This window comes from Homo sapiens, chromosome 16, assembly GCF_000001405.40.
Source record: "Homo sapiens chromosome 16, GRCh38.p14 Primary Assembly".
Lineage (NCBI taxonomy): Eukaryota > Metazoa > Chordata > Mammalia > Primates > Hominidae > Homo > Homo sapiens.
Window position 1 is genome coordinate 85441961 of NC_000016.10, and position 26316 is coordinate 85468276.

General features: G+C 58.5%; 1 protein-coding gene and 1 long non-coding RNA gene across 10 annotated transcripts in view, besides 10 other annotated features; one reads left to right on the top strand and one right to left on the bottom strand.

Moving 5' to 3' along the window:
* Positions 1–26316, top strand: part of GSE1 (Gse1 coiled-coil protein) — a 506689-nt gene that overhangs the window by 272449 nt on the left and 207924 nt on the right. For 2 of the 8 annotated variants that reach the window (XM_005255863.5, XM_047433831.1), the window contains exon 1: positions 20789–21165. The exons of the other annotated variants lie outside the window; for them this stretch is intronic. In XM_005255863.5, the coding sequence (XP_005255920.1) occupies positions 21123–21165 (43 nt within the window). In that variant the 5' untranslated portion in view covers positions 20789–21122. Of the gene's footprint in view, positions 1–20788; positions 21166–26316 lie in introns of those variants that run through there. 8 annotated transcript variants of the gene reach the window in all.
* Positions 2239–3127: an enhancer, noted in NCBI's record as "H3K27ac-H3K4me1 hESC enhancer chr16:85477805-85478693 (GRCh37/hg19 assembly coordinates)". NCBI's record gives its function as "activates a minimal SCP1, AML or CMV promoter by ChIP-STARR-seq in primed H9 embryonic stem cells {active_cell/tissue: H9 hESC(primed)}" and the evidence as "EXISTENCE:reporter gene assay evidence [ECO:0000049][PMID:30033119]".
* LOC124903738 (uncharacterized) lies at positions 3624–20708 on the bottom strand. 2 transcript variants are annotated; one of them, XR_007065156.1, is made up of 2 exons: positions 10684–20708; positions 3624–7830 (listed from the first exon to the last, which is right to left on the bottom strand). It is a non-coding gene; the product is annotated as an uncharacterized LOC124903738 (long non-coding RNA). The 2 variants fall into 2 exon arrangements; XR_007065157.1 differs by having other exon boundaries at positions 10016–20708.
* Positions 6610–6699: a silencer, noted in NCBI's record as "silent region_7806". NCBI's record gives its function as "represses an Ori minimal core promoter by ATAC-STARR-seq in GM12878 lymphoblastoid cells {active_cell/tissue: GM12878}" and the evidence as "EXISTENCE:reporter gene assay evidence [ECO:0000049][PMID:35858748]".
* Positions 9673–10172: an enhancer, noted in NCBI's record as "OCT4-H3K4me1 hESC enhancer chr16:85485239-85485738 (GRCh37/hg19 assembly coordinates)". NCBI's record gives its function as "activates a minimal SCP1, AML or CMV promoter by ChIP-STARR-seq in naive H9 embryonic stem cells {active_cell/tissue: H9 hESC(naive)}" and the evidence as "EXISTENCE:reporter gene assay evidence [ECO:0000049][PMID:30033119]".
* Positions 10186–10686: an enhancer, noted in NCBI's record as "H3K4me1 hESC enhancer chr16:85485752-85486252 (GRCh37/hg19 assembly coordinates)". NCBI's record gives its function as "activates a minimal SCP1, AML or CMV promoter by ChIP-STARR-seq in naive H9 embryonic stem cells {active_cell/tissue: H9 hESC(naive)}" and the evidence as "EXISTENCE:reporter gene assay evidence [ECO:0000049][PMID:30033119]".
* Positions 16288–16939: an enhancer, noted in NCBI's record as "H3K4me1 hESC enhancer chr16:85491854-85492505 (GRCh37/hg19 assembly coordinates)". NCBI's record gives its function as "activates a minimal SCP1, AML or CMV promoter by ChIP-STARR-seq in primed H9 embryonic stem cells {active_cell/tissue: H9 hESC(primed)}" and the evidence as "EXISTENCE:reporter gene assay evidence [ECO:0000049][PMID:30033119]".
* Positions 17574–18282: an enhancer, noted in NCBI's record as "NANOG-H3K4me1 hESC enhancer chr16:85493140-85493848 (GRCh37/hg19 assembly coordinates)". NCBI's record gives its function as "activates a minimal SCP1, AML or CMV promoter by ChIP-STARR-seq in primed H9 embryonic stem cells {active_cell/tissue: H9 hESC(primed)}" and the evidence as "EXISTENCE:reporter gene assay evidence [ECO:0000049][PMID:30033119]".
* Positions 18283–18989: an enhancer, noted in NCBI's record as "NANOG-H3K27ac-H3K4me1 hESC enhancer chr16:85493849-85494555 (GRCh37/hg19 assembly coordinates)". NCBI's record gives its function as "activates a minimal SCP1, AML or CMV promoter by ChIP-STARR-seq in primed H9 embryonic stem cells {active_cell/tissue: H9 hESC(primed)}" and the evidence as "EXISTENCE:reporter gene assay evidence [ECO:0000049][PMID:30033119]".
* Positions 18990–19697: an enhancer, noted in NCBI's record as "H3K27ac-H3K4me1 hESC enhancer chr16:85494556-85495263 (GRCh37/hg19 assembly coordinates)". NCBI's record gives its function as "activates a minimal SCP1, AML or CMV promoter by ChIP-STARR-seq in naive H9 embryonic stem cells {active_cell/tissue: H9 hESC(naive)}" and the evidence as "EXISTENCE:reporter gene assay evidence [ECO:0000049][PMID:30033119]".
* Positions 21113–21820: an enhancer, noted in NCBI's record as "H3K4me1 hESC enhancer chr16:85496679-85497386 (GRCh37/hg19 assembly coordinates)". NCBI's record gives its function as "activates a minimal SCP1, AML or CMV promoter by ChIP-STARR-seq in primed H9 embryonic stem cells {active_cell/tissue: H9 hESC(primed)}" and the evidence as "EXISTENCE:reporter gene assay evidence [ECO:0000049][PMID:30033119]".
* Positions 22529–23234: an enhancer, noted in NCBI's record as "H3K4me1 hESC enhancer chr16:85498095-85498800 (GRCh37/hg19 assembly coordinates)". NCBI's record gives its function as "activates a minimal SCP1, AML or CMV promoter by ChIP-STARR-seq in naive H9 embryonic stem cells {active_cell/tissue: H9 hESC(naive)}" and the evidence as "EXISTENCE:reporter gene assay evidence [ECO:0000049][PMID:30033119]".

A 26316-nucleotide genomic window follows, 5' to 3' on the forward strand; every position in this document is an offset into this window, starting at 1 on the left:
AAAAGCCTTGCGTGCTGTGGCTTCTAGCGGCCTTGTCCAGCTTCATCTCCACCTCCACGTGGGCCCCTGCTGCAGCCACACTGACCACCTTGCTGGTCTCCAAACAGCCAGATCTGTTTCTGCCTCAGGGCCTTTGCACCTGCTGTTGTGGATGGCCTGGAGATCCTTCTGCCAAATATTCCCAGAACTTAGTCCTGCCGTCGTTTCAGGCCTCAGCTCAGGTATCACCTCCTCAGAGAGGCCTTTGCTGCCCCCCTCCTCCTTAAATAGCTGTTCTGCTGCCTCCTTCACTGGCTTTGTTTCTGTTATGGGGCCCCCAGTTGCTGCAACACTGTTCCTTGTTTGCGTGCTTGTTTACCGTCCTGGCCCCATCTCAGCATCAGCCCCACATGGGCAGGGACTTCTATCCTGTTCCCTGCTGCATCCTGGCCCAGCGCTGGGTGTCCAGCAGGTGGTGGACAAATGTTTATTGAATGAATGGATGAATGAATGAATGAATGAATGAATGAAGGGATAGAGAGAGGGGAGCCTCGGGCAGGCTAGAGGGGATGATGTGTTGGGAAGCACAGGAGGTAAACTGAGGCTGGGTGTTGCACAGCATCTAGGATCTGGCCAAGTGGTCATTGGGAATTTTTGGCAGGAGACAGGTGTGACGTGACTGCTGTTAGATTTTGTGCCTGCTGCTGCAAACCCAGAGGGCACCCAGGTGGCATCGTGAGCCAGGCGACCCATCAGGTGGAGAGGCAGCCCCTGGCCCCCTTGCTTGACAGCAGCTGCCCCCTTAGCTCCCGTATTAGTGGCTGCAGTAACATATTACCACAAATGCCGTGGTTGGAAATGACAGGAATGCATCTCTCACGGTTCCAGAGGCCGGAAGTCCGACATCAAGGTGTTGGTGGGGTTGATTTCTCCTGGAGGTCCCCGGAGGAAATCCATCCTTGTCCCTTCCGAGCTCCGGTGGCCGTTGGTGACCCGTGGTGTCCCGCAGCTAGTGGCTGCATCACCCTGACCCCTGGCTCCGTCCGCCCATGGCGTCCTCCCTGTGAGCTCTGTGTCTTCTTTTAAGGACACCTGTCATTGGATCGAGGGCCCACCCTACAGTGGCATGGTCTCATCTGAGATCTCTGATTGATGACATCTGCGAAGATCCTCTTCCCAGTAAGGTCCTAGCCTAAGGTTTGAGGTGGAAGTGAATGTGGTTGGGGGGGCACCGGCCAGCCCGGTGCAGCCCCCATTTCCTCCCCAGCGTGCTGCTGCCTGCTCCGTGAGGGGCTGTCCTCAGCACACCATGGCCCGCCAGGCCCCAGACCACCCTCTCCAGGCCCATCTCGCCCGTTTCTCCCTTTGGTCCCTGTACCCCAAGAGGCAGCGCAGTGCAGCGCATGGCCCAGAGCCTGGCCTGGCTCCCACTGGCTGACCTCGGGCCAGTGTCTTCACCTCCATGTGGCCACTTCTCCACCTGTAAAACAGAGCTAGGACAATGACCTTCCTCCTCATGTTACTGAGATCCAGTGAGGAAATGGATGGAAGGCGCTTCCACCTGGCCCATGGTAATGTTTATATAAGCGTTAACTGTTATTATTCTGGGTAGAAACTTAAGTAGTATTAATACAAAAAGTAAAAACTCAGAGAAGCATAGGTTCAGATGCTTCCTGCTGTTCCCGTGGCGTGTGCCGAGTGCAGCGGGGAACCGAGGCCTGGCAGCAGGAGGTGCAATGCCACATCCCCACCCACCTGCCTTCCCTGCTGGAGAGTCCTCGCACCAGAGGGGCCTAGCGTTTGGCTGACAGAGGGACCTCGGAGCCGGATAGCCCAGCGGGGAAAGTGCCAGGCAGGTCCCTCTGCCTGGGTGCCCCAGCCTCTCGGAGCTTCAGCTCCCAGCCCAGCTACAGGATGAGATCGCGCCCACTCTCAGTGACCTATGGCGACCAGAAAGCACATCTGCAGAAGCTGTGGGCCGGCCCACCTGTGATAAAGGGGGCCCTGGGGGTGGCTGCCACGTTCCGGGAGACAAGGGGGCGCTTTTTTTTTTTTTTTTTTTTTGAGACGGAGTCTTGATCTGTCGCCAGGCTGGAGTACAGTGGCGTGATCTTGGCTCACTGCGACCTCCGCCTCCCGGGTTCAAGCGATTCTCCTGCCTCAGCCTCCGGAGTAGATGGGACTACAGGCACATGCCACCAAGTCCAGCTAATTTTTGTATTTTTTGGTAGAGACAGGCTTTCACCATGTCGGCCAGGATGGTCTCGATCTCTTGACCTCGTGACCCTCCCGCCTCGGCCTCCCAAAGTGCTGGGATTACAGGCGTAAGCCATTATGCCCGGTCAGGGGGGTGCTTTCTAGCCAGCCCAAAGGACATAAGCAAAGGCAACCAGGGGACAGTGTCTCAAGAGGCTCTGAAGGGCTTTGTCCAGGGAGGCGAGAGAGATGGCAGGAAGTTCATAGGTGCCGTTTCCAGCTCAGCCAGGCCTGAGTTCGCACTGCAGGAGGCCGCTGGCGTTGAGAGCTGCCGAGTCTGGTTTAGTTGGAGAGGCAACACCGGACAGCCTGAGGAACCCTGGGGAGGGGCTTCTGGGGCATTCTGTTTCCTGGGTTATGGTCCAGAGGGCAAAGGTCACGGCCTGCCAGCTTGGCAGTGCCCTGGTTGCAGGTGTCCCCAGGACCTCTGCCGTCTGCTTGGGGTAAGTCCTTCAACCCTCTCCATGCATGTGCACACATGCACACGTGCACACACGCTATAGCCGGGCTCCGTGTTGCTAGAAAAGCTGCCTCCTGTGACCCACTGAACCAGCATCCAGCACAGGCCTGATCTCTCATGCCATCGCTGTGCTGGGCCCCTGCCCCAGTCCCTCTCCTCCGCCCCCTCCAGCCTCCAAGGGACTGTTTCCACTGTGGGAGCAGAAGCTCAGGATTGCTGACCCTGGGGTGTCCCGCCCATGCCCCTTCCCGCGGCGCTGGCTGTGCCTCCCCCGCCTCCCCACTGCCCACGTTGTCACAGGAGGCCCAGGTGTGTCGCCGGCTCCGCAGCAGCCAGATCTTGAGCCGCTTTTCATGCTTCAGGTTTCCCGCCGCACGCAGGCAGGGGAGCGGGGGCTGTCTTTTCTGCACGCCTTGCCCTTGATCTTCCCTGGCTTTATCTTCCAGCCTGAATCGCTGGTGGCACCCCACAGGGCCCCCTTGTTCTGAGCCACCTGAGACTGGGCATCGGGGTGCCACACACCTGACTGCCCTCCCCCATGGGGCCCCTTGCTGCTTGCTCTCCTCTCCCGGGAGCAGCTGCCACGTGCGGTAATTAGAGGCTGACACCAGGTGTGGCCGCCACTGCTGCTAGCACAGTGGAGAGGCGAGTGTGCTGCTACCTGCTCCAGCGAACCCCCCCACTCTGCAAAGGAGGCAGACCGTGAACATGGGGGGCGGGAGAGGCTGAGGAAAGGTGGGCTGGACCAGCCCTCAGAGTGCTCGCTGGCGGCCACGCACAGCGAGGGGGGGCGGCCAGTCCCCAGACCCCTCACAGGTGCAGGCCCAGATTCTGTTGAGCTAAGCTTTGCGTGGCGGGCGGCTGGCAGCGATCTGCTGAGCCTTCCAAAGGTAGCAGCCATCTGCACTGTGATAAAAAGCCCTGAGGATGATAAATAGACAAGTCGCACTTTTATTGGATTGCAGTTTGGGAGCAGCCACTTTGGGTTTGGCACTGTGTTAACGACAGATTTCTGCTTCCCTTGCAAGGCCTGGCCTCTCGGGGAGCGCGCCAGCAGCAGCAGCCCTCTCCTGGCTCGAGGGAGAGCTCCCCCCAGCCGCCCTGGTGGGTGGCTGGCCTGCTCCCATTGGCCCCTGCAGCCATGCTGCCCTTGTGGGATTTCTGCTGGGGGCCCGCCTTGCAGCTCGCTGGGGTCAGGCTGATGAGTTCACATCCCGGCACTGTCACCTAGTAACTGTGTGTCTTCAGGCGGGTGTCCTAACCTCTCTGTGCTGCCAGTGCCCCATCTGTGAAATGGGCAAATAATGGCATTTACCTAACAGGCTTGGGAGGTTCCACGGGTAACGGCTGTGCGTGTAGCATTTGGAAGAGTGCCTGGGTGCACACACAGTGAGCGTTCTGTAAACATTAGCTGCTGGTATCAGCGCCATGAGCAGCCTGATTGGTAGTATGATTGCTTCCAGAGAGCCCCGCCTGGCCCTGGCATCCCACCAGGCAGGGAGCTGTTTGGCCTCAGCTCTGCGACGTCGGGGCCTGTTCCCCGGAGGACCTGTATTTCCCAGGACAACAAGGCCTCTGCTGTGTCCTCCACTCATCAGTTGAACGTGGGAGCTCTGGGACCAGATGGTCTGACTACCTCATGGTCTCTCAGCTGTGAGACCTTGGGCGGTAGCTGCAATGCTCTCTGCCTCGGTTTCCCCTTCTGTCAAGCAGGGATAAAAACAGAACTGAACCTCATAGTGCTGGAGACGATCTGCTGTAAGCTCTTGGACCAACGCCTGGCACGTGATAGGCATGGGTGGGTGATGTCCCCCCACTCGGCATTGCTGGTGGCTCTCCTGTTTGCCAGGAGCCCCCGGTGGGCCCAGCGTTGGCTCTGGGTTCTGCGATGACCGGGCTCATGTGGAAGGACGGCAGCAGGAGTGGAGAGCAGAGGGTAGCCCGGGGTGGGGCTCGACCCCTATGGGGTGTGGGTGGCTCAGTAGACGCCATCGAGCGGGTTCTCTGCCTGCATGGCAGGGAGACCTACCGTGTGTTGGAGCTCAGCCCTGGGGAACGGAGGAACAAGGGAAGAGCGGGCATGGTGGAGGCGGTAGCCTGCGTCCTGTTCCGCTTGGCTTCCTGGGTGCGTTGGGCAGGTTGGCTCATCTGTCTTAGGCTCCGTTTCCTCACTGGAGCTTCCCGAGGTTCCTCCCAGGGCCCGCAACCCCGCTCCCGCTGTCCCCATCTGGCCTTCCGTTCCCTCTGCACGGGCACACCCTCCTCCTGCTCTGTGTGCCTGCTCCCTGCACCCCCATGCCCTTCAGCTTGGCTCGTCCGACCCCTCCAGCACAATGTCGGGTGCTCCATGGGCCACACGCCTTGAGCTGAGCCTCTATTTTGAGCCAGGACACAAAGCAGCCTGCCCTGAGCAGTGACCCTGCTCGGGCCTCTCACTCTGGGCCCTCTGCCCTGCTGCTTTCTGGGCCTCCGTGTCATGGGCCCTCCCAGCACCTGGGGCCATGCCGGGCCCACCTTGCCTGCTTTGCAAGCAAGAAGGCACTAGTTAGGAGTGTGCAGCACCCCCAGCCCTCCGTGGTCTGGGCCCTGTTTCCGCACAAGGATTCTTTCTTGGACCACTCTTTTGGCTACTCTGAGGCCCCAGTGGCCCTGAGAAGGCACTGGAAGAAGGCTCATATAAACACGTGGTGGCCAGGAGCTGGGGTTCACAGTTCAGGGTTCAAGTCCCAGATTCACCACTTGACCTTGGGCAGATGACCTCTCTGGACTTTGACTTTCTCATCTGAAAAACGGGGCAGTTAAAGGAACCAGCCACACTGGTGCGCTGTGAGGACGGAGGACTCAGGTTGGCTACGGAGCTGGCTCACGCAGGTGCTCAGCACATACCAGCTGTCACCAGCTGTCACCATCATGGGCCAGGCGCCTGCTCCGTGCCTGTTTCCTCATTTCACCCTCACAGCAACCCTGTGAGGTGTCACATCTTCCCACTAACCAGATGAGGCCACGGAGGCTCTGTGGGGCTCGGAGCTTCTGTAGGATCACCCAGGTACCCAGCAGTGGAGGCTGAATTGAGAAGAAAGACTGGCAGTGAGCTGCTGAGGCTTCCAAAGGGAGCAGCCACCTGCACCTTTAGGTGTGAGGTCAGACCCTGAGGTGCCTTTCACACAGCTCAGTGGCCATCTGGTTCAGTCTCCAGCCTCATCAGCAAAGGTCCAGAGAGCTCAAGTGACTTGCCCAGGGTCACACAGCTTCTCACTGCCAGCTCCTGGTGGGCGACTCGAGGCAGCTGCTGATACCTCAGGGCTTGCTGTGGCTTAGTGTAGGGGACAGGATTGCAAATCTTAATGGCAGAGGGAGAAGCAGAGCTGGGAAGGAAGCGTAGGGCACCTGGCAGCCAGCGAGGGCTCATCAGCCCTCTGCCTCCTCCCAGTCGTGTACCCAGCTCTGGGCTCCTCCGCCTGCCCTGCCCGCATCACCTTCTCTGGAAAAGGATGTGCAGACTTGAAGATCCAGATAATAATGATCCCAGACGGAGAGTCTCAGCCTCGCTTTGTGTTCCAGCTGCCCAGGAGCTCTGGAAACATACCTGGGCCCAAGCTTAGGGATTCTGGGGTACAGCTGGGCTTCGGGATCTTTCCGGAAGCTCTCCAGATGATTCTGCTGTGCAGCCAGGGTGGAAGACCCCTGGGGTGCAAGACCCTGTGCTCTTTGAGTGATGACCAGATACCGAACGGTGGTGTTTCAAAAGCAGAGAGGCCAGCTGCAAGCCAGGAGGGGAGAGAGTGCTTGCTGAGTGCCTACTGTGTACCTGGAGATGCTCCAGTCACCTGTCATGCTATTGTTAGCCCTGTGCAGTGGACATGAGACTGAGAGATGAGGCGGGACCCCAGGGGGAAGATGTGCTCTCACCTTCTGGTCCCTTCTAAAGTGAGCAGAGCCGACCCTGTGGCCATTTCCTGTCCCTCCTGCACGCTTATCTGGCGCCTCTTCCTCCCTCCATCTGCCAAGTTAATGCAAACTGGCAGGGGCGATGGAGGGGGGCTCCGGGGGCACCACTGGCAGCCCGCCCCACGCCGCCCACATCCCCGGCCCTGCAACCCGGGGCAGGAAACCACCAACGTGTTTATGAAAGAGGCAGGCGGCAGCTGCTGCTAACAGGTGAGCCCTTCCCGAGCCGAGCCTCTCCCAGGGCCTCCTGGAGAAATCGGTAATGAAGTGCAGCTGTGAACTCCGGTTTTGGGTCAGAAAGGCAATTTCTCATCTCTACGCGCAGCAATTGAGTCGAAAATCCAGGAGCTGTTTGCCTCTCCCCGCCCCTCCACCCGCTCAGCCCTCACTCGCCTGAGCAGGAGGCCTCTCAGGCGTCAATATTGACTCTGTCAAAGGCAGGTGGCCGGGCGCAGGAGGGAGCCGGGCTGGAAACCGGGCCGGGAGCAGCCCCTGGGGCCAGTGAGGTGGGAGCAGGGAGCAGCTGGCCGGGGTGCCCTGGGAGAACGGAAGGCTGTTTTTCCTCTCATTTTAATTGGTCTTTGTGACTCTAATGGTGCCCGTTTCACCTAGTGGCAGTGTATTGGCTTGGGGCCCCACCGCGCACCACATCTGAGCCATTCAAGAGGCGCCAGGCAGCTGTTCCTGGCCTAACCGACTTTTCTGGATGGTTCTGGGCCTGGAAGGGCCCAGAAAAACAAAGCCAAGGGATGGCTGGGAAACCTCAGGGCCTCCCTGGGATGGCAGCCGGCAGCTGGGCCGAGGCCGCATGGGGGGCGGGGAAGATCAGAGCCCCGGCTCCCAGATCCGGCTGCGGTCGTGGCCCTGTCTGGCCACCTTTGGCCACAGGGTCACCTGAGAATCCAATTTCCATAGGCCCAGATGAAGTAAGCAACGCTTGCCAAGTGAGATTGATTGGAAATCGGAGTGGGCGGCAGCTCCTGCCCTCTCTTCCGGAATGGACGCTTATGAAGCCCAAATGCCTTGTTCCCAGCCCAGCTGAGATGCATTCAGGAAACACTGGTAGCCTTTGAGGAGGGGCCAGGTGTAGTGGTTGTGAGCTGGGGGCACTGGGGCCAGCATGCCTGGGGTTTGGATCGCTGCTGTGTGACTTTGGAGAGATCGCTTGACTTCTCTGATCCTGTCTCCTGCAAAATAGAAGGGTTGCATTTGAAGATCCACCTTGCAAATCTGATGATGACAACAATAATCATCATTTCCCTGGTGGGGAATAAAACACAGAAAGTTGTGCTGTGCCTCTTCTGCCTGCCGCTGCCCTTCCTGCCACACCATGCCCACCAGGGCTCCCAGCTTGGCCCAAAAGGAAGGGCCTAGTCTCAGCCCCAGTGGCCTTCTGTCTTCAGCCCCTTGGTGTAGAATCGGAACCACACAGCTGCACCCAGCTGTCCCCATGTAATGGGAACCCTGTTACCATGGTGGGTACTTTGTGGCCAGTTCTATTTTAGGCAGCTGACTTTTTTTTTTTTTTTTTTTTTGAGACGGAATTTCGCTCTTGTCGCCCAGGTTGGAGTGCAATAGTGTGATCTCGGCTCACCACAACCTCCACCTCCCGGGTTCAAGCAGTTCTGCCTCAGCCTCCCAAGTAGCTGGGATTACAGGCATATGCCACCATGCCTGGCTAATTTTGTATTTTTAGTAGAGATGGGGTTTCTCCATGTTGGTCAGGCTGGTCTCGAACTCCCGACTTCAGGTGATCTGCCCGCCTTGGCCTCCCAAAGTACAGGGATTATAGGCATGAGCCACCGTGCCCAGCCACCTTACTGTTTTTTTATTTCTTTATTTTTTATTTTTTATTTTTATTTTTGAGACAGAGTCGCACTCTGTCACTCAGGCTGGAGTGCAGTGGCCTGATCTCGGCTCACTGCAGACTTCACTCCCCAGGTTCAAGCAATTCTCTGCCTCAGCCTCCCAAGTAGCTGGGATTACAGGCGCCCGCTACCATGCCCAGCTACTTTTTTTGTATTTTTAGTAGAGATGGGGTTTCACCATCTTGGCCAGGCTGGTCTTGAATTCCTGACCTTGTGATCCACCCGCCTTGGCCTCCCAAAGTGCTGGGATTACAGGCATGAGCCACCTCGCCCGGCCCACCTTACATATTTTTTAAAAGCCAGGTTTGGCCGGGCACGGTGGTTCACATCTGTGATCCCAGCACTTTGGGAGGCCGAGGTGGGCCGATCACCTAAGGTTAGGCGTTCGAGACCAGCCTGGCCAATATGGTGAAACCATCCCCCTGCCCCCTGTCTCTACTAAAAATACAAAAATTAGCTGGGCATGGTGGTGTGTGCCTATAATCCCAGCTACTAGGGAGGCCAAGGCAGGAGAATTGCTTGAAACCAGGAAGCAGAGGTTGCAGTGAGCCAAGATCGCACCACTGCACTCAAGCCTGGGTGACAAGAGCAAAACGCCATCTCAAAAAAAAAAAAAAAAAAAAAAAAGCCAGGTTTATTCAGATATAGCTTACGCACAAGAGCGTTCAGTCTTTTTAGAGCGTACCAGTTGGTGAATTCTCACAATCATATACAGCAAAACCACCACCATAATTTACAAAATTTTGCCTCCAACTGCAGAAAATTCCATGGTGTCCTTTTGTGGTCATTCCCCACCTCCAGCCCCTGCACCCACGGGTCTGTTTTCTGACTTGATTGTTTCACCTTTGCTAGGATGTCATGTAGGCGGAGGCGTTCAGTACAAAGACTCCTGTGCTGAGTGTGCCAGGGTTGAGACCCATCTAAGTTGGTGCGTGAGCTGGTGGTTGGTGCGTGCGCTGGTGGTGGTTGGTGTGTGTGCTGGTGGTTGGTGCGTGCGCTGGTGGTGGTTGGTGTGTGTGCTGGTGGTTGGTGCGTGCGCTGGTGGTGGTTGGTGTGTGTGCTGGTGGTTGGTGCGTGCGCTGGTGGTGGTTGGTGTGTGTGCTGGTGGTTGGTGCGTGCGCTGGTGGTGGTTGGTGTGTGTGCTGGTGGTTGGTGCGTGCGCTTGTGGTGGTTGGTGTGTGTGCTGGTGGTTGGTGCGTGCGCTGGTGGTGGTTGGTGTGTGTGCTGGTGGTTGGTGCGTGCGCTGGTGGTGGTTGGTGTGTGTGCTGGTGGTTGGTGCGTGCGCTGGTGGTGGTTGGTGCGTGCGCTGGTGGTGGTTGGTGCCTGCGCTGGTGGTTGGTTCCTTCCTGTTTTAGAGCAGTGCACCACTGTATGGATGCACCACAAATGGTTTGCCCGGTGGAGACACTGAAGCCCACAGTCACACTGCTAGGCTCCTCATAACAGGCCACCTGGCTTGAGAGGCCACCCAAGAGGCCCGTCTCTGCCTGCCTCCCCCCCTCACCGAGTTTCTGGTTCCAGGGAGACTGGGTCCATGTGCTGTAAGCAAGAAGCGTCCCCACCCAAGGTCCGTGTCTCGGTGTCAGGTTAGACCATGGCTGAAGATGCATCTTTGTCCCCGCCAGAGAGACCCGTGTCCGGCGCGAATAATTGGATTTTAATGAAACGAATGGGAGTGCTGAAGCCGTTTGCCACCCTGGCCTGCATCGGGGCCCCGCAATTAAGCCGATTATGTTTTGAGAGTCAAGCTGTCTGACTCCTCGCGTCCCTAATGTGATGATGTTTGATGGCCCTGCCAGCGCGGTTATTTATTTATTTACCCAACCCTCATGAGCTGGGACGTGCCAGTGGGCCCCGGTAATTAACAGCGGGTGCTGAGCCTGTGTGTTCCCACTCTGGCCCCCACCTCTCCCTCTGTCTGGCAGCTCAGGGCATCACCTAGGGACAGACTCTAACAAATGCAGATGGCCAGGCCATACTCACGCAGACTTTTAAGTTGGTTGATCTGGGACTGTGGCAAGGCCACTGGGATTTTTCAAAGCTACCCCGGCGGGGCCCAGAAGCCCCTGGTCTAAAGGACGCAGATTCTCCTGGAAGCCTGGGGTGCTGCTGCATCTCAAAGGGCCTCCTTCCTCGGAATCCCCTGCCCCAGTGGGCCCAGGCTGTTCCCACCTGTGGGAGGCCTGTGGTCTTCTCCTCCTTAAGGCCTCACTGAAATTCAGGGAAGGATTTGAACCCAGAGACCCTCAGCACAGGTCCTGGGAGAGAGACCCCTGGTGGGCGGTGCAGAACTCCGGGTGTCTTTCCCAGCAGTGGTAGTGGATTGGCGTTCTCTCTCCCCCGTTCGTTCTGTGAACAAACAGGGATTGGGCCCTTCCCTCTGCCAGGCGCTGGGCTAGGTGAGTGCTGCAGTGCTGGGTGGGGGACTGGGTGGTCGCTCGGTGCCTCCAACCCCACCCTGTGGGCACTGAGGGTCCTCCCTGGAGCTTTCTGGCTTCTCTGGCTGTGTGGTTTGGCAATTTGCCTGTGTTTTGGTTTTCTGTCCCCGACGCTGCCGGTCCAGGGCGGAGGGACACCAGGATTTTGTGTGATCTTGGATAGATGAGTCACGGAAGCTCCTGGGCCTGGGTCCCCCACCTGTAAAATGGGGGCAGGGGGTTAGCAACTGCCAGGCAGTCCTTTCCAGCTCCCGTATCGGGGGAAGGTTCTAGATTTAGACATTGGCACGGCTGATGGGGGTGTGAAGGAAAGCTGTTTTGGGGAGCTCTGTGGTAAAGTCACACGGTGGCTCGGGGACCCTGAGCAGCCCGCCCACCCTCCTCTACCTCCCTTCCCTCCGCGGAGGCTGGGCAGATTGCTCGGTGCATGGACGCAGTGTGTACAAAGGACTCAGCATCGGGCGCTGGGGCGTGCCAGGCAGTGACAGTGCATGCCGGGGTGGCTGGACGTAGGAAGCAAGGCAGCAGGGAGGGTTGGGGTATGGGGCTGCTTGTGGGGGCTGGGTCCCAGCTTAGGTGTGAGGGCACCTCTTTCATCAGGAGGAGGTCGGTGGGTGGAAGTAGCAGGTCCCTCAGGTGGTGACCCTGGGGCTGGGTGTGGCTCCTGGAGCCCCAGCTGTTGAGGGCAGGGCTTGGTTTGTGCCCCTCACCCCATGAGACCAGGCTCAGGTGGGCAGTTCCTGTCCTGAAGTCTAGAGCTCAGGGGGCTGAGAAGAGGGGGCGCCACTGCCTTTCCTGTGGGGGGATCCTACTTCATCCAGCGCCCTCCCTCTCTAGACCTCCTTTTCCCTCTGCACAAGGCGGTCGCACCCCATCCAGCTCTGGGCGGACCCCCAGGTGTCTGACCTCGGCCGGCCCCACTTGCTTGGCACTCTTGGACCTGGTGGGGGCTCAGCTGAGGCATGCAGAGAGCAGAGCAAGGGCTGGATGAGCTCCTCCAGGGCCCCAGGCCACCTGCACACAGCACCCCCTGCCTCCTTGGGTGAAGCTGCCAGCCAGGTCCTCATGCCCCAGGAAGGAGACTTGGGGGCGATTCCACCCCCGCCCCCTGCCCCACGGGCATCCAGCTTCAGCCCAGCTGGGCAGAGTGGCAGGCTCTAGGAGTGGAGGGAGCCACCCTGAACGTGGGGAGAATATAACCAAGGCCTGGTGGTAACCCTGCTTTCCAGTAAAAATAAGAGCAACCAACATTTATTAAGGACTGGCAGCGTGCAGGGCCCTGTGTGGAGCCTTTCCATACACTGCCTCATTCGATCCTGAGATGTGGTAGCATTGGTGGTGTGTAATTTTCATACCCTCCGAGCTTCTCCGAGGCTGCCCCAGGCCCTTGGTTCCTCGCCCTCAGCCCTGGTGGTGGCAGTGGCCCTGGAGGGCTACCCATGCGGCAGGGGAGCGGCCAGCAGATGGCTCCAAGCCAAGGCAGAACGGCTCAGGAGGGGTGGCCAGCCAGGCTTGCCAGTGGGCCTTAGTTTCCCCTGCTGAGCCCACAGTGCCCTTTTGGCTGGGCTCATTTTCCCTGGAGCATCCATGCAGCCAGGCTCCTGGGCAGATGCCGGATGAGTTTCCCGGGGCTGCCATAATGAATCACCCTAAACCAGGGGCCTCAAAACAACACACACTGACTCTCCCACAGTTCTGGAGACGTCCAAAGTCAAGGTGTCGGCAGGACGCGTTCCTTGTGGAGGCCCTGGCGGAGGATCTGTTCCAGCCTTCCTCCCAGCTGCTGGCGGTGCCGGCCATGCTTGGCAAGGAGGCTTGGCACTCCTTGCCGTGTAGACGCGTCACTCCAGGCTCTGCCTCCATCATCATGCAGCCTTCTATGGGTCCACGTCTCCTTCTCTGTTTCTTAGAACGGCACTCCTCCCTAGGTTTAGGGCCCACCCTAATCTAGGATGAGCTCATCTCAGGAGCCTTAAGTTAATCACATCTGCAAAGCCCCTGCCTCCAAATAAGGTCGCCTGCCCAGGTGCGGAGGGTGAGGGTATGGACAGATCTTTCTGGAGAGCCGTAACTCAACCTCCTGGGTGCCAGGTTCTGTGCAGGCACCTTATGTTCTGTTTCCTCCTCCGTAAATGGGGACACGGGTGCATCCCACGAGGCTTCGTAAGCATCAGAGGAGCGGGTTGGGGTGATGGCCTGAGCAGCGCCCTGCGGCTGCAATAAACACCTGCAGATTGGATGGTTATTCAGAGCAGGGCCTCATTCTCCTCCAAGGTGACCCAGGGTCCCTCTTCACAGGAGAGGAAACAGAGACTCTGAAGCTCCACTCAGCCTGGCGTGGTGGCACATGCCTGTAATCCCAGCTACTGGGGAGGCAGGCGGGAGGATCGCTTGAGTTTGAGGCTGCAGTAAGCCAAGATTGTGCCACTGCCACTCCAGCCTGGGAGACAGAGCAAGACCTGGCATTACAAAAGAGAGAGAGAGAGAGAGAGAGAAAGAAAGAAAAGAAAAGAAAAGAAAAAAGAAACTCCACCCAGTGTAGGGCTGGGGATGAAGCTGGGGTGTTGTAACAGCAGACCCCATGGTCCCCTCCTCACACCCCATGCTCAGGCCGGTGTGGGTTTATAGCGGCTACCCAGGAAACAGAAGGGCAAGCAGAGCCTCTGCTCATTTGGGGGACCCCGATTATCTGGGCTGCAACTCAGCCCCGTTTGGAATTGATGGCTCAGTCTCAGATCAGAGACAGACTCAGGGAGCCTGGCGCGCTGCAAGCTGCCTCCCCCGCACGAGACTTCAGGTGGCCAAGACTTCCCACATTGGGGAGTTCTGCTCTCAGTTTCTGACAAGCTTGGGGGGAATGTGACCCATCCACGTGCAGGCAGCTGTCTGGGGGTGAAAGCGTCACGCTCTCTCTCCACTCTCACGCCTGCATGGAGCCCATCCTGCTGCCTAACTCCCATCCTGGCCTAATGCCCTTCCCTCCCAGGGACCCACCCCCACCTCTGGGGTCAGGCCCCGCTTTGTGTGCCTTACAAATGCGAATAAACTCATAGCATCCTTATTTTAGAGACGAGGAAACTAAGGCTCAGAGAGGTTAATGACTTGCCCCAGGATACCCAGTTGTAAGTAACAGAGCTAGGATTTGAACTTGAGTGGCTGGCCCTCCCTCTCAACTCATCCTCATCTGTGTCCAGAGGAAGCTGTGCCTCCCTGAGTTCACCCAGTCCTGGTTCAGAGGAGGGTCACCGAGGGGTAGGACAGTATTTTGGAGGACACCTGGGCCAGACCCCTGGTATATTGTCGTGGGGTGCAAAGGGGGTCTGTCATCAGCATTACATTTGGCTTTGAGAAGCAGTGGAGCTGGGGCATCAGAATCCAGTGAGGCAAAGTGGGAGAGAGAGAGGGCATTCCAGTGGGGAGGCCCTGTGAGAGGAAGCGCTTGGAGGTGGGACCCTTTGAGCTTGTTCTGGAACATGAGAGCTCAGCCATCTCTACCACCCTCTGCCTTCCAGATTATGCTCTGGGATTTCCAAATTGCTTGTACCTTCAGCAGCACGCAGCCCACCATTTCACACTGCCACGAAGTCCGGGGTGGTGTGGTAGGGACCAGGACCCCGCTGCAAATCCCCAAGCACCCTGAGGACAGGGAGGGGAGGGTCATTTTCCTGCCGTGTGTGTGTGTGTGTGTGTGTGTGTGTGTGTGTGTGTGTGTGTGTGTGTGTGTGTGTGTGGTCTGCCATTTTTGCTCTGCTTCCAGAAGGGACTTGAGGCAGCTAAGTGGTATTTAAAGAAGATTAAGCATTTCCAGGGAGGGAGGCTGCAGCAGGGTGAGCGCTGGTGGGTGAGAGGCCCGCTAGGAGGCTGCTGTGGCGACTCAGGGTCCTGGCGGGGAGAACCTGCCCTCTGTGCCCCGCCACACTCCCAAGCCCCGCCATTGCCAGGGACGGTGGGACTCACAGGAGAGACACCGGCAGGCTGTGTTTTCAAAGAAGATGCCATTCACAGCACAGCCCAGGACAAAACGGGCCTTGCCTTGCTAAGTCACAAGAGACCAACTCCCGACAGAAGAGCTGACCAAGGGCTTCCGCAGCCTCCTTTCTGGGGGCTCGAAAGAATCTTCTGATAAATGAACCTCAGCAGTAGGCATCCTGAGATCACTGCCTGCTCGGGGTGGCTGTGGGGGTAAGCCAGGCAGTTCCTGCCTCCCGCTTTCCTCTGACCCCAAAAGAAAGGGCAGCGGGGTCTGCCCTAGAGGCTGCCAGGATTGCATTGCACATAGCCAGATAAGGATGAGGAGAGTGGAAGGGCAGAGGCCCCGTCAGAGCTTATCTGGGCAAGGTCAGGAACCCAGAGCAAGGAAGATGCTCTGGGAGGAGAGAAGGGAGCATGTCCATCTCCACCCTGAGCTGGCAGATGGGGGACAGCGAGACTCCCCCCAGACTGGACCGCAGCTGTCAGCCTGGCCATGAGTCCCAGCATTTGCCCACTGCAGGGGAGAGGCTGTCTCTGATGGTCCCTGACCTGGGGCAGGGATACAGATCATCCTGGGTTTCTCTGTCCGGTAGGGTTGGCACAGCAGGCTTCACAGTCTCCCTCGTGGTGATGAGATGTGTCATCGTCCCAGGACCTGGTGGAGGCTGAGCTCAGGCATGCAGAGAGCAGGGCAAGGGCTGGACGGGCTCCTCCAGGGCCCCAGGCTACCTGCACACAGCACCCCCTGCCTCGTTGGGTGAAGCTGCCAGCCAGGTCCTCATGCCCCAGGAAGGAGACTTGGGGGTGATTGCACCCCCACCCTCTGTCCTACGGGCATCCAGCTTCAGCCCGGCTGGGCAGAGTGGCAGGCTGTAGGGGTGGAGGGAGCCACCCTGAATGTGGGGAGAATATAACCAAGGCTTGGTGGTAACCCTGCTTTCCAGTAAAAATAACAGCAACCAACATTTATTAAGGACTGGCAGTGTGCAGGGCCCTGTGCGGAGGCTTTCCATACACTGCCTCATTCGATCCTGAGATGTGGTAGCATTGGTGGTGTGTAATTTTCATACCTTCTCTGAGATTGAAGTAGCTATTATTGACCCCATTTTACATGTAAGGAGACTGAGGCACACAGCAGTGACCCCATCCTGGTGCACCCTGGTTGCTGTCTTCTAGTGAGGTGCTCAGGTGTGATCTGACTCCCCAAACCCTACAATCTGCTCCGGGCTTCCTCAGAGGCCCCTCTGCAGCACCAGCCGGCACTGACCTGGCCTCCCAGCACTTGGAAGTGGGCCAGCCATTTCTGGACCCCCTGCAGCTCTGGGGACCCCCTGCCTCGCTCCCGGCTGGATGCCGTGGGACACTTCAGAAAAGGCAGACAGTCCTGCCCTCAAGGAGCAGGGAGGAGTGCAGCCCAAGGACACAGCTGAGGTAGAAGCTTCAAGGCCACAGGTAAATGAGGCCCTGCTTGGAGGAATGGGCCTTCAGGTGCAGGTGCCTGGAGGGGAGCCCTCGACAGCTGGAGCTGAAGGATGCACCCCAGGGCAGCCAGAGCTGAGCAGACACTGCCCTAGCAGGAGGGCATTGGAAGGGGGCATGGAGAGATGGAGGCCCTGTCCCAGGTACCAGGATGCCCAGATGGAGAGGCTGGTTGAGCTGGGCATGGAGGCCCAGGGGCCAGGGGAATCTCCTGTTGATGCCCTACTGGCCAGTGGCAGGGGCTTCCACATTGCGGGTGGCTATCACACCACAGCAGCAGTTCCCAAAGTGGGGTTGTCCTGGGAACTCATTAGGAATGCAGATTCTCAGGCCCCGCCCCAGACCTGCTAAATGAGAAACGCTGGGTGGCAGAGCAAGGCTGTGTCCTCCCCAGCACTGCTGGGGATCCTGGTGCTTCTTAAAGTATGAGGTCCCCTGTGCTGCAGGAGGGATAGAGTCACTTTGGGTTCAGGGAGCCTGGGGCCTCCTCTTTCTACTGCTAACCCTCCATCTAAGGCCAGAGGGGAGCTGTGTTCCTTCACCTTCAGCAAGGAGGTACCTATCTCCCTGCTCTGGATAAACCGTGCCACCTGCCCGCAGGTCTGGGTGGGGCAAGCAGTGCCCTCCCCACTCTCAGGAGTATTGGCCGCTTTCGCTCCTGCCACCCTGTGCCTAGGGCCTTGGCAGGGACTGAGACTTTCCGTCGGCTGCTGCCTGTGGTGCCTCGGCTCATCATCCTCTGCTTACACAGTGGCCTCTGACGCCGCCTGTGCTCATTCACCCAGAAAGATGGCATCGGGGTGAAGTCAGAGGCAGGCAGATTCTATCTAGAACAACCACCGTGCCAATTGCAAACGCCACCCCCAGGCACCCTCTGTGTCTCCACATGCATGCAGGCAGGAGTTGTGGGTGCCCCTCCACAGAGCCACCACCAGCCCATATGGCTCCTTTGTGCAAATTAGAAGGCACCCCTTGCTTCAGGCAGACCCATCCCGTGCCCAGCTGGTTGTTGAAGAGTAGAGTGACTTTGGGTTTCAGCTCCCGCTTGCCATTTCCTCCAGGAGCTCTTGTGCAGTGAACAATCTGGACGACTATACTTGGCAGCCCTTTTCCCTGGGCTCTTGTTGGCTCCCATCACCATCCCATTGGCTGTTAGGGGCTTAAAGCACAAACCACTCAGCTGCCCTTTCACTCCAGAGAGACCAGGGCATCCATTTCCATGCTCTGCCTGGTCCCTTTTGCCTATGTGCTTAGTGTGGAGTGGCTAAGATCTGTTAGTTCATGCCAAGGGCTGGATTAGAGGTAGAGGACTCCACGGAGTCACTGAACCCAGTCTGCCCACCCTGCAGAGGAGTATATTGAGGCCCTGAAAGTTACGTGGCCTCGGGCAAGTCACTGTTAAGACTTGTTTTCCCTTCCCAGAGGCTTTCTCTCTTTGGTCTTGAGCACTTGTTTTGTGCAAGGCTGAACAGGCATTCACCCCTCCTTCACAGAGGGGGTTGCTGACGCCCAGGGAAGCTGAGCGATTCCCCCAGCTCACGCAGTGAGTGGATGGCCTGGTTGGATCTCAGTCCAGGCTCCTGGCTCCTCTCAGGAGCTTCTCAAAGCATTTCTGCCAGAAAGCAGACCCTGTTCCCTGTGATCCTGTCCTTCTGCTGGGGTGCATGAGCCCCCAGGGCCCCGCAGTGCACATACCTTCACCCAGCGCCTGGCCTCCGATGAGCAAGGACACGATGTCCTGGGGGATGCAATCTCCTGGCCCACATCCCTTGACCAGATAAACACTCCCCTACAGACACTCCAGCCTGAAACACCAAGTGTGTTCAAGGTCAAACGGGCTGGCCTGGAGGAGGCCTTGAGTCCCTGATCCTTCCAGCAGCCTTCTCAGCCGTAGCTGCATCTTGGAACCACCCGGGGGGCTTTGAGACACACTGATACCTGGACCCCCTTCTCCAGAGATTCTGATACAACTGCTCAGGGGTGCGGCCCAGCCTGGTATTTTCTTAAACTTCCCGAATTGTCCCGTCGAGCAGGGGTGACCACCAGGGCTTACCCTCAAGAGAGGGACGCTGGACGATTTGGCCTTGGAAACCACATTATCTTGCTAATCTGCTAGACAATGGGAAGAAAGCACTTGGCAAAATGTAAGGTAGTTCATGTAAAGCCCAGCACTTCGTTTCAAAAGTAAACTGACAGGCAGAAAGTGGGCGACGTCACTTGTTAGGGGTTCGGGTGAATGAGGCCTCGGCTGCTCCAAGCTGGGCAAGAGCCGGCAGTGACCTCTCCTTGCCCGAGCTAATGTCACTTCCAAGACTTGAAGAGACGGGGGCTGTGGGAGGCCAGGGCGGAGCACCCATGCGCAGACACGGTCCTGTGGTCTTGCACTTTAAGGAGGTTGTTTACAGGCCAAAGAACGTCCCATAACCAGGGACGGCAATGGAGAAGGAGCTGAGGAAGCCAGGGTGGGGGTGGGGAGAGTCTGCCAGAGCAGTTCAGACCCAGGGGACCGTGAGAGTGGGCTGCAAATCAGGACGTGAAGTCTGATGACAGATGGGAAAGGGCTTGGTCCAGTGGGGTAGAAGTTAAGAGATTTCAGCTCAACACAGGAAGCAATTGTAACAGTCACAGGCTGACGGCAGCCAGCCGGGTGGGAAGGAGTGAGCTCTGGAGTGGGAAGGGAGACCCAGGGACCCTCTCTCCCCACACCCTTAGGGAGCACCTGCTTCGGGCAAGCCCTGAGCTGGGCGCAGTGGAGGACAGTTCCTGAAGGGCCTTTGCCTGGTGGGGGATTGGCTCACCCTGGGTTTCTTAACCTTGGGACTGTTGACATTTGGGGTTGGCTGATTCATTGGTTTGGAGGCTGTTCTGTCTGCTGGAGGGTGTTGAGAAGCATCCCTGGCCTCTACCCACCAGGTGCCAGCAGCGCTGTGACCCCCAGTTGTGTCAATCAAAAATGTCTGCAGACACTGGTTGCTAACTATGCCCTGGGGGACAACCCCCACTCCCCCTTTGAGAGCCACTGGTTTGGAACAAAGGATCTCTACCTTGGCTGCGCACTGGAAGCCCCCAGGGAGCTTTAGAAACTACCAATGGCTGGGTCCATGCCCAGAGGTGTGATGTCATTGGTCTGGGGGCAGGCCCACGCAAGGGGGGGAGGGGGCGCTGTGGTTTAAAAGCACCCAGGTGGTTCTAATCTGTTGCGAGGGGTTCGAGACCCCCTGGTGTACATGGTTGTTTCTCAAACTTGACTTGTCATAAGAATCGCCTGGGTAGTGGCTCAAATGAAAGCCCCCACCCCTTTAATTAGGATCACCTGGAATTCTCAGGCTGCAGTCGGTGGGCTGGGATAGCCATAATCCCCGTGCTGCGTGAAGCTCCAGGATTCAGAGCTGAGAGGCCTGGCCAGCCAGCCTCACTAGATCTCCTGCAGCTCCCCTATTCCATCCCCGCGGCTGGGCCCCCTCCTCACCTCCCCTCCTCCCGGACCTTCTCCCAGCCCTCACCCCTCCCCAGCTCCTGAGAGCGGCAGGCAGCCCTGCCCCTCCTTCCTGCTCTCCTCCCAGCCCATGGCTCTCAGCGCAGCTTGATTTAGTAGGCGGTGGAGGAGAAAGGCAGCTTGAAGAGTCACTTAGAGCCTCGGTGCTCACAGCACTTATCTGGAAAGGAGAGGCCAGCAGGCCCCCGGGGAGTGGGGCGCGAGGCTGAGCACACCTCCCCACAGGGGCAGGGAGGCTGTGCTCTGCAGGGCTGTGGGCACCGGAGCTACACACACCCTCTGTCCCCAGCACCCAGTCTCGGGTCTGCCCCTCCTTGCCAGAGCACACGGTGTCAGGAGGTCCCCCTGCAGTCTCCTCCTGGGGGATGGGCTCAGCTCCTTAAAGCCCTAGGTCAGGGAGCTCAGAGACCCCTGGGTTAGAAGCGATGTCAGGTCGTCTGGTAGGGAGGTGTCCTGTGGCCGCCACCTGGCTTTTGCTGGGCAGGAGGGGGCCCTCCACCCTCCCTACCCTCAGCTTGTTGGTTGGTTGCCTGCCCTCCTCTCCTGGTGCCTGTCTTCCTTCTCCCCCTCCTCCCTGATGAAAAATACAAAAGAAAATGCGCCAGTGCCCAGGTCTGGGGAGCCCCAGCCCTGGGGATGGAGAAATGAAAAGCGGCCCCAATTAGAGGCTTTGGTTCTGCAAACTTGATGCTCGGCACTTGAACTGTCACGGCGGAGCCTTAATTAGCAGCGGCGGGGAGAGGTCAGGACAACTCAGCAGTCTTGACAAGCGCGTTATCAAGTGCAGGGGAGCGGAGGCTGCCCGGGGAGCGCGGGCGGGGGAGGGCGGCGGGGGCGCCGCGGCGCGGGAGGGAGGCGGGAGGCGGGAGGCGGCGCCGGCCGGGCGGGGGACGAGGTGGTGGCTGCGAGGCAGCCGCGCCGCCACGGCTGGCGGTGCGTGAAGCCGGGGGCGCGGGGCCGGGGGGCGGCGTGAGCGGCTGCGGGGCCCCCAGGCGCCCCGGCCCCTCCCCGGGCTCCACGCCGCGGGCAGGGCGCACCGCGCAGGGACGCCCCGGCTGCTCCGTGCCGCCCCGCAGAATCCCGGGGCTCCATCCCCGTCTCCCCCGCCCCCTCCGGGCCCGTCTTCTGCCGCCCCGTGACGCCCCTACTGCTCGCCTCCGCCGCGGGCCATGCTGGGCAGCCCCTCCTAGAGGCCCCGGGTCCCGCGGCCCGGGGGGCGGCGCAGGATGCTGGGCATGAAGACCTGGTCGTCTCTGCTCCAGAACCTCAGTAAGTGCCCAGCTCACCGCCCCGTGGACGGGAGGGTGGGGGGTCCGGGATGGAACTTTCTGGGGCGCGCCACCCACCCGGGGCTGGAACCTGGCCCCGCACTCACCCAGCCTCGCCCTCCAGCCCCATCACCTTCAGGCCACGCACGTGCTCCCCAGCGCCGCCTCCTCATGCTGTCAACTCAGAAGAGAAGCCCTGGGTTGGTTTCCTCAAGTAGAAAACCCTTGACCCCCGCGGTCTGGCTGTGCCTGGGCCAACTCTAGGCAGCCGGGGGAGGCTGCCCTCAGACCCCGTGTAGGGAAGTGGCCGGCGGGCACCGGGCTTGCTGCACCGCAGGGCTCTGCCTTAGCCTGGCCATGCGGCTCCTGGAGGTGGGTCCAACCCTGGCAGGGCCCCTCGTGCCTGCAGTGACCCGGGAGGTGGGAAATGGGGCTGCTTGTGTGTGGACTTCGTGCCCTCTTGCTTGCACAGGTGGGACCTGGGGTGGGTTGTGGGACTGGAACTCTCAACCTACCCCTCCCCAAACTGCCCGATCACCTCCCTGGCCCCATCAGCTCTCTGGGGAGAACTCCTGGCATCAAGGCCTCGCATCACTGGCACAGTTAGGCAGCGAGAGGGTAAGAGTCACAGAGCCCGCCGAGGGTGGGGAGCGCCATGAGTCCCATCGGAGAGAGGGTGAGCGGGACTCTGAGGCCTGGGGCAGTGCCACAGGTGCGGGTGTGAAGCTGGCGGTGGGCCACTGAGGTCCTCAGGCTGAGGGGCGGCCAGAGTGAGGGATGGAGAGAAGCCTTCCATGAACAGCAACTCAGGCTACCAAGGTCCCTTTGGGGTGGCTCCAGTGACAGAGAATGGGCGGGGACGCTGGCCTCAGGACTGCTTCTTCCCATCCTGACCTTCGGGCCCCTTACCTGCGGGCCTTTTCTTCCAGGTGAGCCAGGCCAGCAGCGGGGGGACGACGCCATCCCCCATGCCTGGCCCCTCCTGGCTGCCTCGCCTGCCCGCCCACCCCTCCTCTCTCTGTGTGCACCTCTCTGCCTGTTTGAACTGCAGCTTTTAAAGCTTTTTGCCTTTTGAAAACTCAGGGGGAGAAAGAGTCATTTGTGGAGAGGTCGCGAACGGTTGATGATTATAGTCCAGTGGGTAGAAAGAGCTTAAAACAAATCCCTGTCCATCAGATGTCGGCTTAGGTGGTTTCCAGCGCTCTCCTGGGGGGCCGGGGTGGGGGGCAGCCGCTTAGAGAAAAGGGGAGGCTTTTTTCCTTGAAGCTAAGTGAACCTGCAAAACTCTCTTCTTATTTGGGTGTTTGATCACGGCTCCCCTCTGCCTGGCTTCCTCTGATCGCCCTTCCTCCGGGTGCCCGGCTGGTGGAGGAGGGCCTCGGCAGCCCCCAGACGGCCTCACCAGCTGTGTGACCTTGGCCTGGTCATGCGGTGTCTGGGAGTCTCTGTTTCCCCCGAGGGGTGATGGTCATGCCGGTTGCACAGGGTACTCACGAAGCCTCGGGAATGTGCCACCATCTCCCGGGCGGAGGGTATACCTGGCCTGCAGGGTGTGGTGGTTGGATCCTGTGCTGCTCCTCCTCTGCCACACCAACTCCCCTGTCCAGGTGCAGAGGCCACCTGCGTGGAGCTGGAAGGGCCCTCACTTTGTTTCCAAAGGCCAGCTAGTGAGGCCGGGAGGAGGATGCCGGCTGGAGAGGCCTGTGTTAAGTGCTGGGTTGACTGCCCACAGGGGCTGGTAGGGGCCCCTTGCAGACAGAATGGGCCCTCCCTATGTCCTTTACCTGTGGTCACGCCTCAGTCCTCATGGCAGCATCAGGGGGAGGGCACTGGCTTCGTGCCCTCTCGTTTTTGCAGGTGAGGAAACAGTGTGCTCGTTTTTCAGGGTCACACAGCTAGTGAGGTGCAGACGGGAGAGGCTGGTGGGAGCCTGGGCAGTCCCACTCAGGGTCACGCCCCCAGCCAGCCATCTGTGGCCACTGGCATCTCTTCCTTCAGCTCCAGAAAGATCCGGTCACTCCGATATCCAGGAGTGTGGGACGGCCCCTGGTTCCCGGCTGCATGCAGCGGTTGGGTGGGAATCCTGGGCTCCTCCATGGGCTGCCCCCGCCCACCTGGAGCTCCTGCCTCCCCAGCTCTCCTGCCAACCGAATCTCATGCTGCTTCTGTGCCACGCCCTGGCCCTTCGCATCTCTGCTTGGTGCCTGGGCTGTAAGGGAAGCATGTAATAGAACCATGAACAGCGCCAGGCCTGGGCTCCCATCTGGGTTCTCCTTCATTACTGCTGTGTGACTTGGGGCAAGTGACCTCACCTCTCTGTGCCACATTCTCCCATTCGTTCCATGGGGATGGCAGGACTGCCCTGCTAGGGGTAAGTGCATCAGTCCAGTTAATGACTGCACACTGTCAGTGTCATAAATGTCAGCTGCTATTTTTTCTTCCACCTGGAAGTCCCTTCCTGCCTCTCCCTACCGTCTCCCCATACTTCAAGGCCTAGCTTAAATGCCACCTCCTCCAAGAAGCCTTCCAGACTCCACCCAGCCATAAGTCATCTCTCCTGCCTCCTCATGGTCTATGTTGTTGTTTTTCTCAGTGGAATTCATACATTTGTACCTATTTTCTCTCCCTATCAGACAGACGTTCCTCAAGGGAAGATCCTTTACACTCTGATCTCAGAATCTTCCAAGCTACTGAGTATGTAGTAGGTGCCCAATAAATGTTTGTCATATGACTAGAGAGTAACCATTTTTCTTGCCAGACCAATGAGTGGCTTCACTTCCCAGCTATTCAGTGAGCACTTTGTTCTAATGATTAGTGGAGTCACATCCGAAGTCAGTCTGTACTTTGGGATGCCTTAAAATTGTTTCCAAGTCCTGTGGGTGGATGAGCTCATTGGCAGCGGTGTGGACCCAGCCTAAGAGCTTAGCTTTTCCTTTGGGGCCCAGAGGGCAGGTTCACATCTCAGTGACAGCAGCCGGCTGTGGGAATGTGAGAACACGGGCACTTTGAGTGGAACACGTGGTCAGTGTTGAAAGGACAAGGGCGGCTCATCCCCAAAGCCAGGTCGTGGTAACCTGGCTGCCTGCCAGCTGACCTGCTCTGCCAGGGCCCAGGCTCTGGTAGCCAGGAGTGCTCTCATTGTGCTTGGAAATTAAGGGCTATGGAGCAGTTGCCACGCAGGCGTGGTGATGTGATTACTCCCCAAGGAGGAGTGGCCCCCAGGACCCCCTGGGGAGTGGGCAGGGGCTGTGTGAACCCTGCGGATCCCTGTCATGGCTGCCAGCGCCCGTGGGCCCAGGCCAGGCTCTGCCCCTGAGATTCCATGGCCTCAGAGGGGCCCTCCTGGCGCACACTGGCAGCTGAGCTCGTCGGTCCTGAGGAGTTAGCAGCCCTGGGAGGTGAGGATGGCATTTGGGTGCCTTATAGATAGGGCCAGGTGGCCATGCCTTTGGCATTCTTGAAGACTCACTGCGGGTGGCAATGACGGTGGTATCATTTGTGCTTTTGTCTTCCAGTAAGGAAAGCGTGCAGAGTTTCCAGGTTTGCAAATTAAAAAAAAAAAGAAATATATATATATAGAGAGAGAGAGGGAGAGAGGGAGAGAGAGGGAGAGCGCACAAGAGAGCAAGAGAGAGAAAGGAAGGGAGGAAGATGGCTGAACGCAGTGGCTCACACCTGTAATCCCAGCACTTTGGGAGGCCAAGGCAGGCAGATCACTTGGGGTGAGGAGTTCGAGACCAGCCTGGCCGAAATGGCGAAGCCTCATCTCTACTGAAAATATAAAAATTAGCCAGGCGTGGTGGCAGGCCCCTGTAATCCCAGTTACTTGATAGGGTTAGGCAAGAGAATCATCTGAACCCCAGAGGCTCAGGTTGTAGTGAGCTGAGATAGCGCCACTGCACTCCAGCCTGGGCGACTCCATCTTAAAAATAAATAAAAAGGAAGAGGCCAGGTAGGAAGTGGGGCAGGGTAGGCGGTAGATGGCCTGGGCCCTGGCCTCCAGCAGCTGGGCGAGCATGCAGACCTCTGCTGGATGGTGTGGGCACCCGCGTCTTCACCCTTGCCTGACTGAACCATAAGGAGCGAGGGGCCGGAGCGAGCCAGCCTGGGTTCGCATCCTGCTGCTGCCTCTTACGGGTTGTGCGCAAGACACTTGGCCTCTCTGTGCCTCAGTTTCCTCATCTCTAAAAGGGGAAATAAATATGGTGGCACCTGTCTTGTTCCAGCCAGCTATTGCTATGTAACAAACTACCCCAAGACATTGGCGTAAAACAAGAACACAAATTTTGTTTGCTGGTGAATCTGGGGGTGCAGCTAGCAGCTCTCGCCTGGGATCTCATGTTGTTGTATTAGACGGGGGCTGGGTTGGGGAGCATCTTGCCGATTCCCTACTTGTGCCTGGTGTTTGTGCTGGGAAGACTCAAATGGGTGGGGTGAGAATGCTGGGTTGGTTTCATCCCCCCATCTCTCAACCTGGTGGCTGGACATCTTACTTGGCTCCCAGAGCCAGTGTCCCAAGAGAGGCCAGTAGAAGCTGTGTGGCCTTTCCTGACCTAGCCAAAGGGATCACGCAGCATCACTTCTATGGTGGTAGCCACCAAAGGCTGCCCGGGTTCAAGGGGAAGGTACGGAGATACCCCCTCCAGATGGGAAGAGTGTCAAAGAATTTGTGGATGTTTTTCAGGACTGCCACATACCTGCTAGGGGTGTTGGAGTTGACAGTTGATTCGTGTGAAGTGTGCTTACAGCATAGGGAGAACTTAGTGAATGTTAGCACATCTCTGAGCTGGGACCTGAGACATCGTCTGCATCGAAAGCTACACAGAGGGACAGAAGAGAATGGGGCGTGGGAGGGGTCAGGGGTTGCAGACTTGCCTTCTCTCGAGCCAGTGAGGGCTCCTTCTCTGCCCATCCCTCACTGTGTCCCTGGAGTGACCCCCTGGCCTCCTCCCAAGAGCCACAGCCCACCTCAGCCTTGACAGAGGTCCCGATGGGAGATGGATTCCCACCTTTTGGGTCTCAGGTGTTTCTGTACTTGGGGTTCCTTGAACCACAAGAAGGTGGGAAAGCCCTTAGAGGAACAGGGAATATTCGAGAACCTTGGGCAAGGTATGAAGCTCTCAGAGCCTCAGCCTCCCTAACTCCTTGAAGG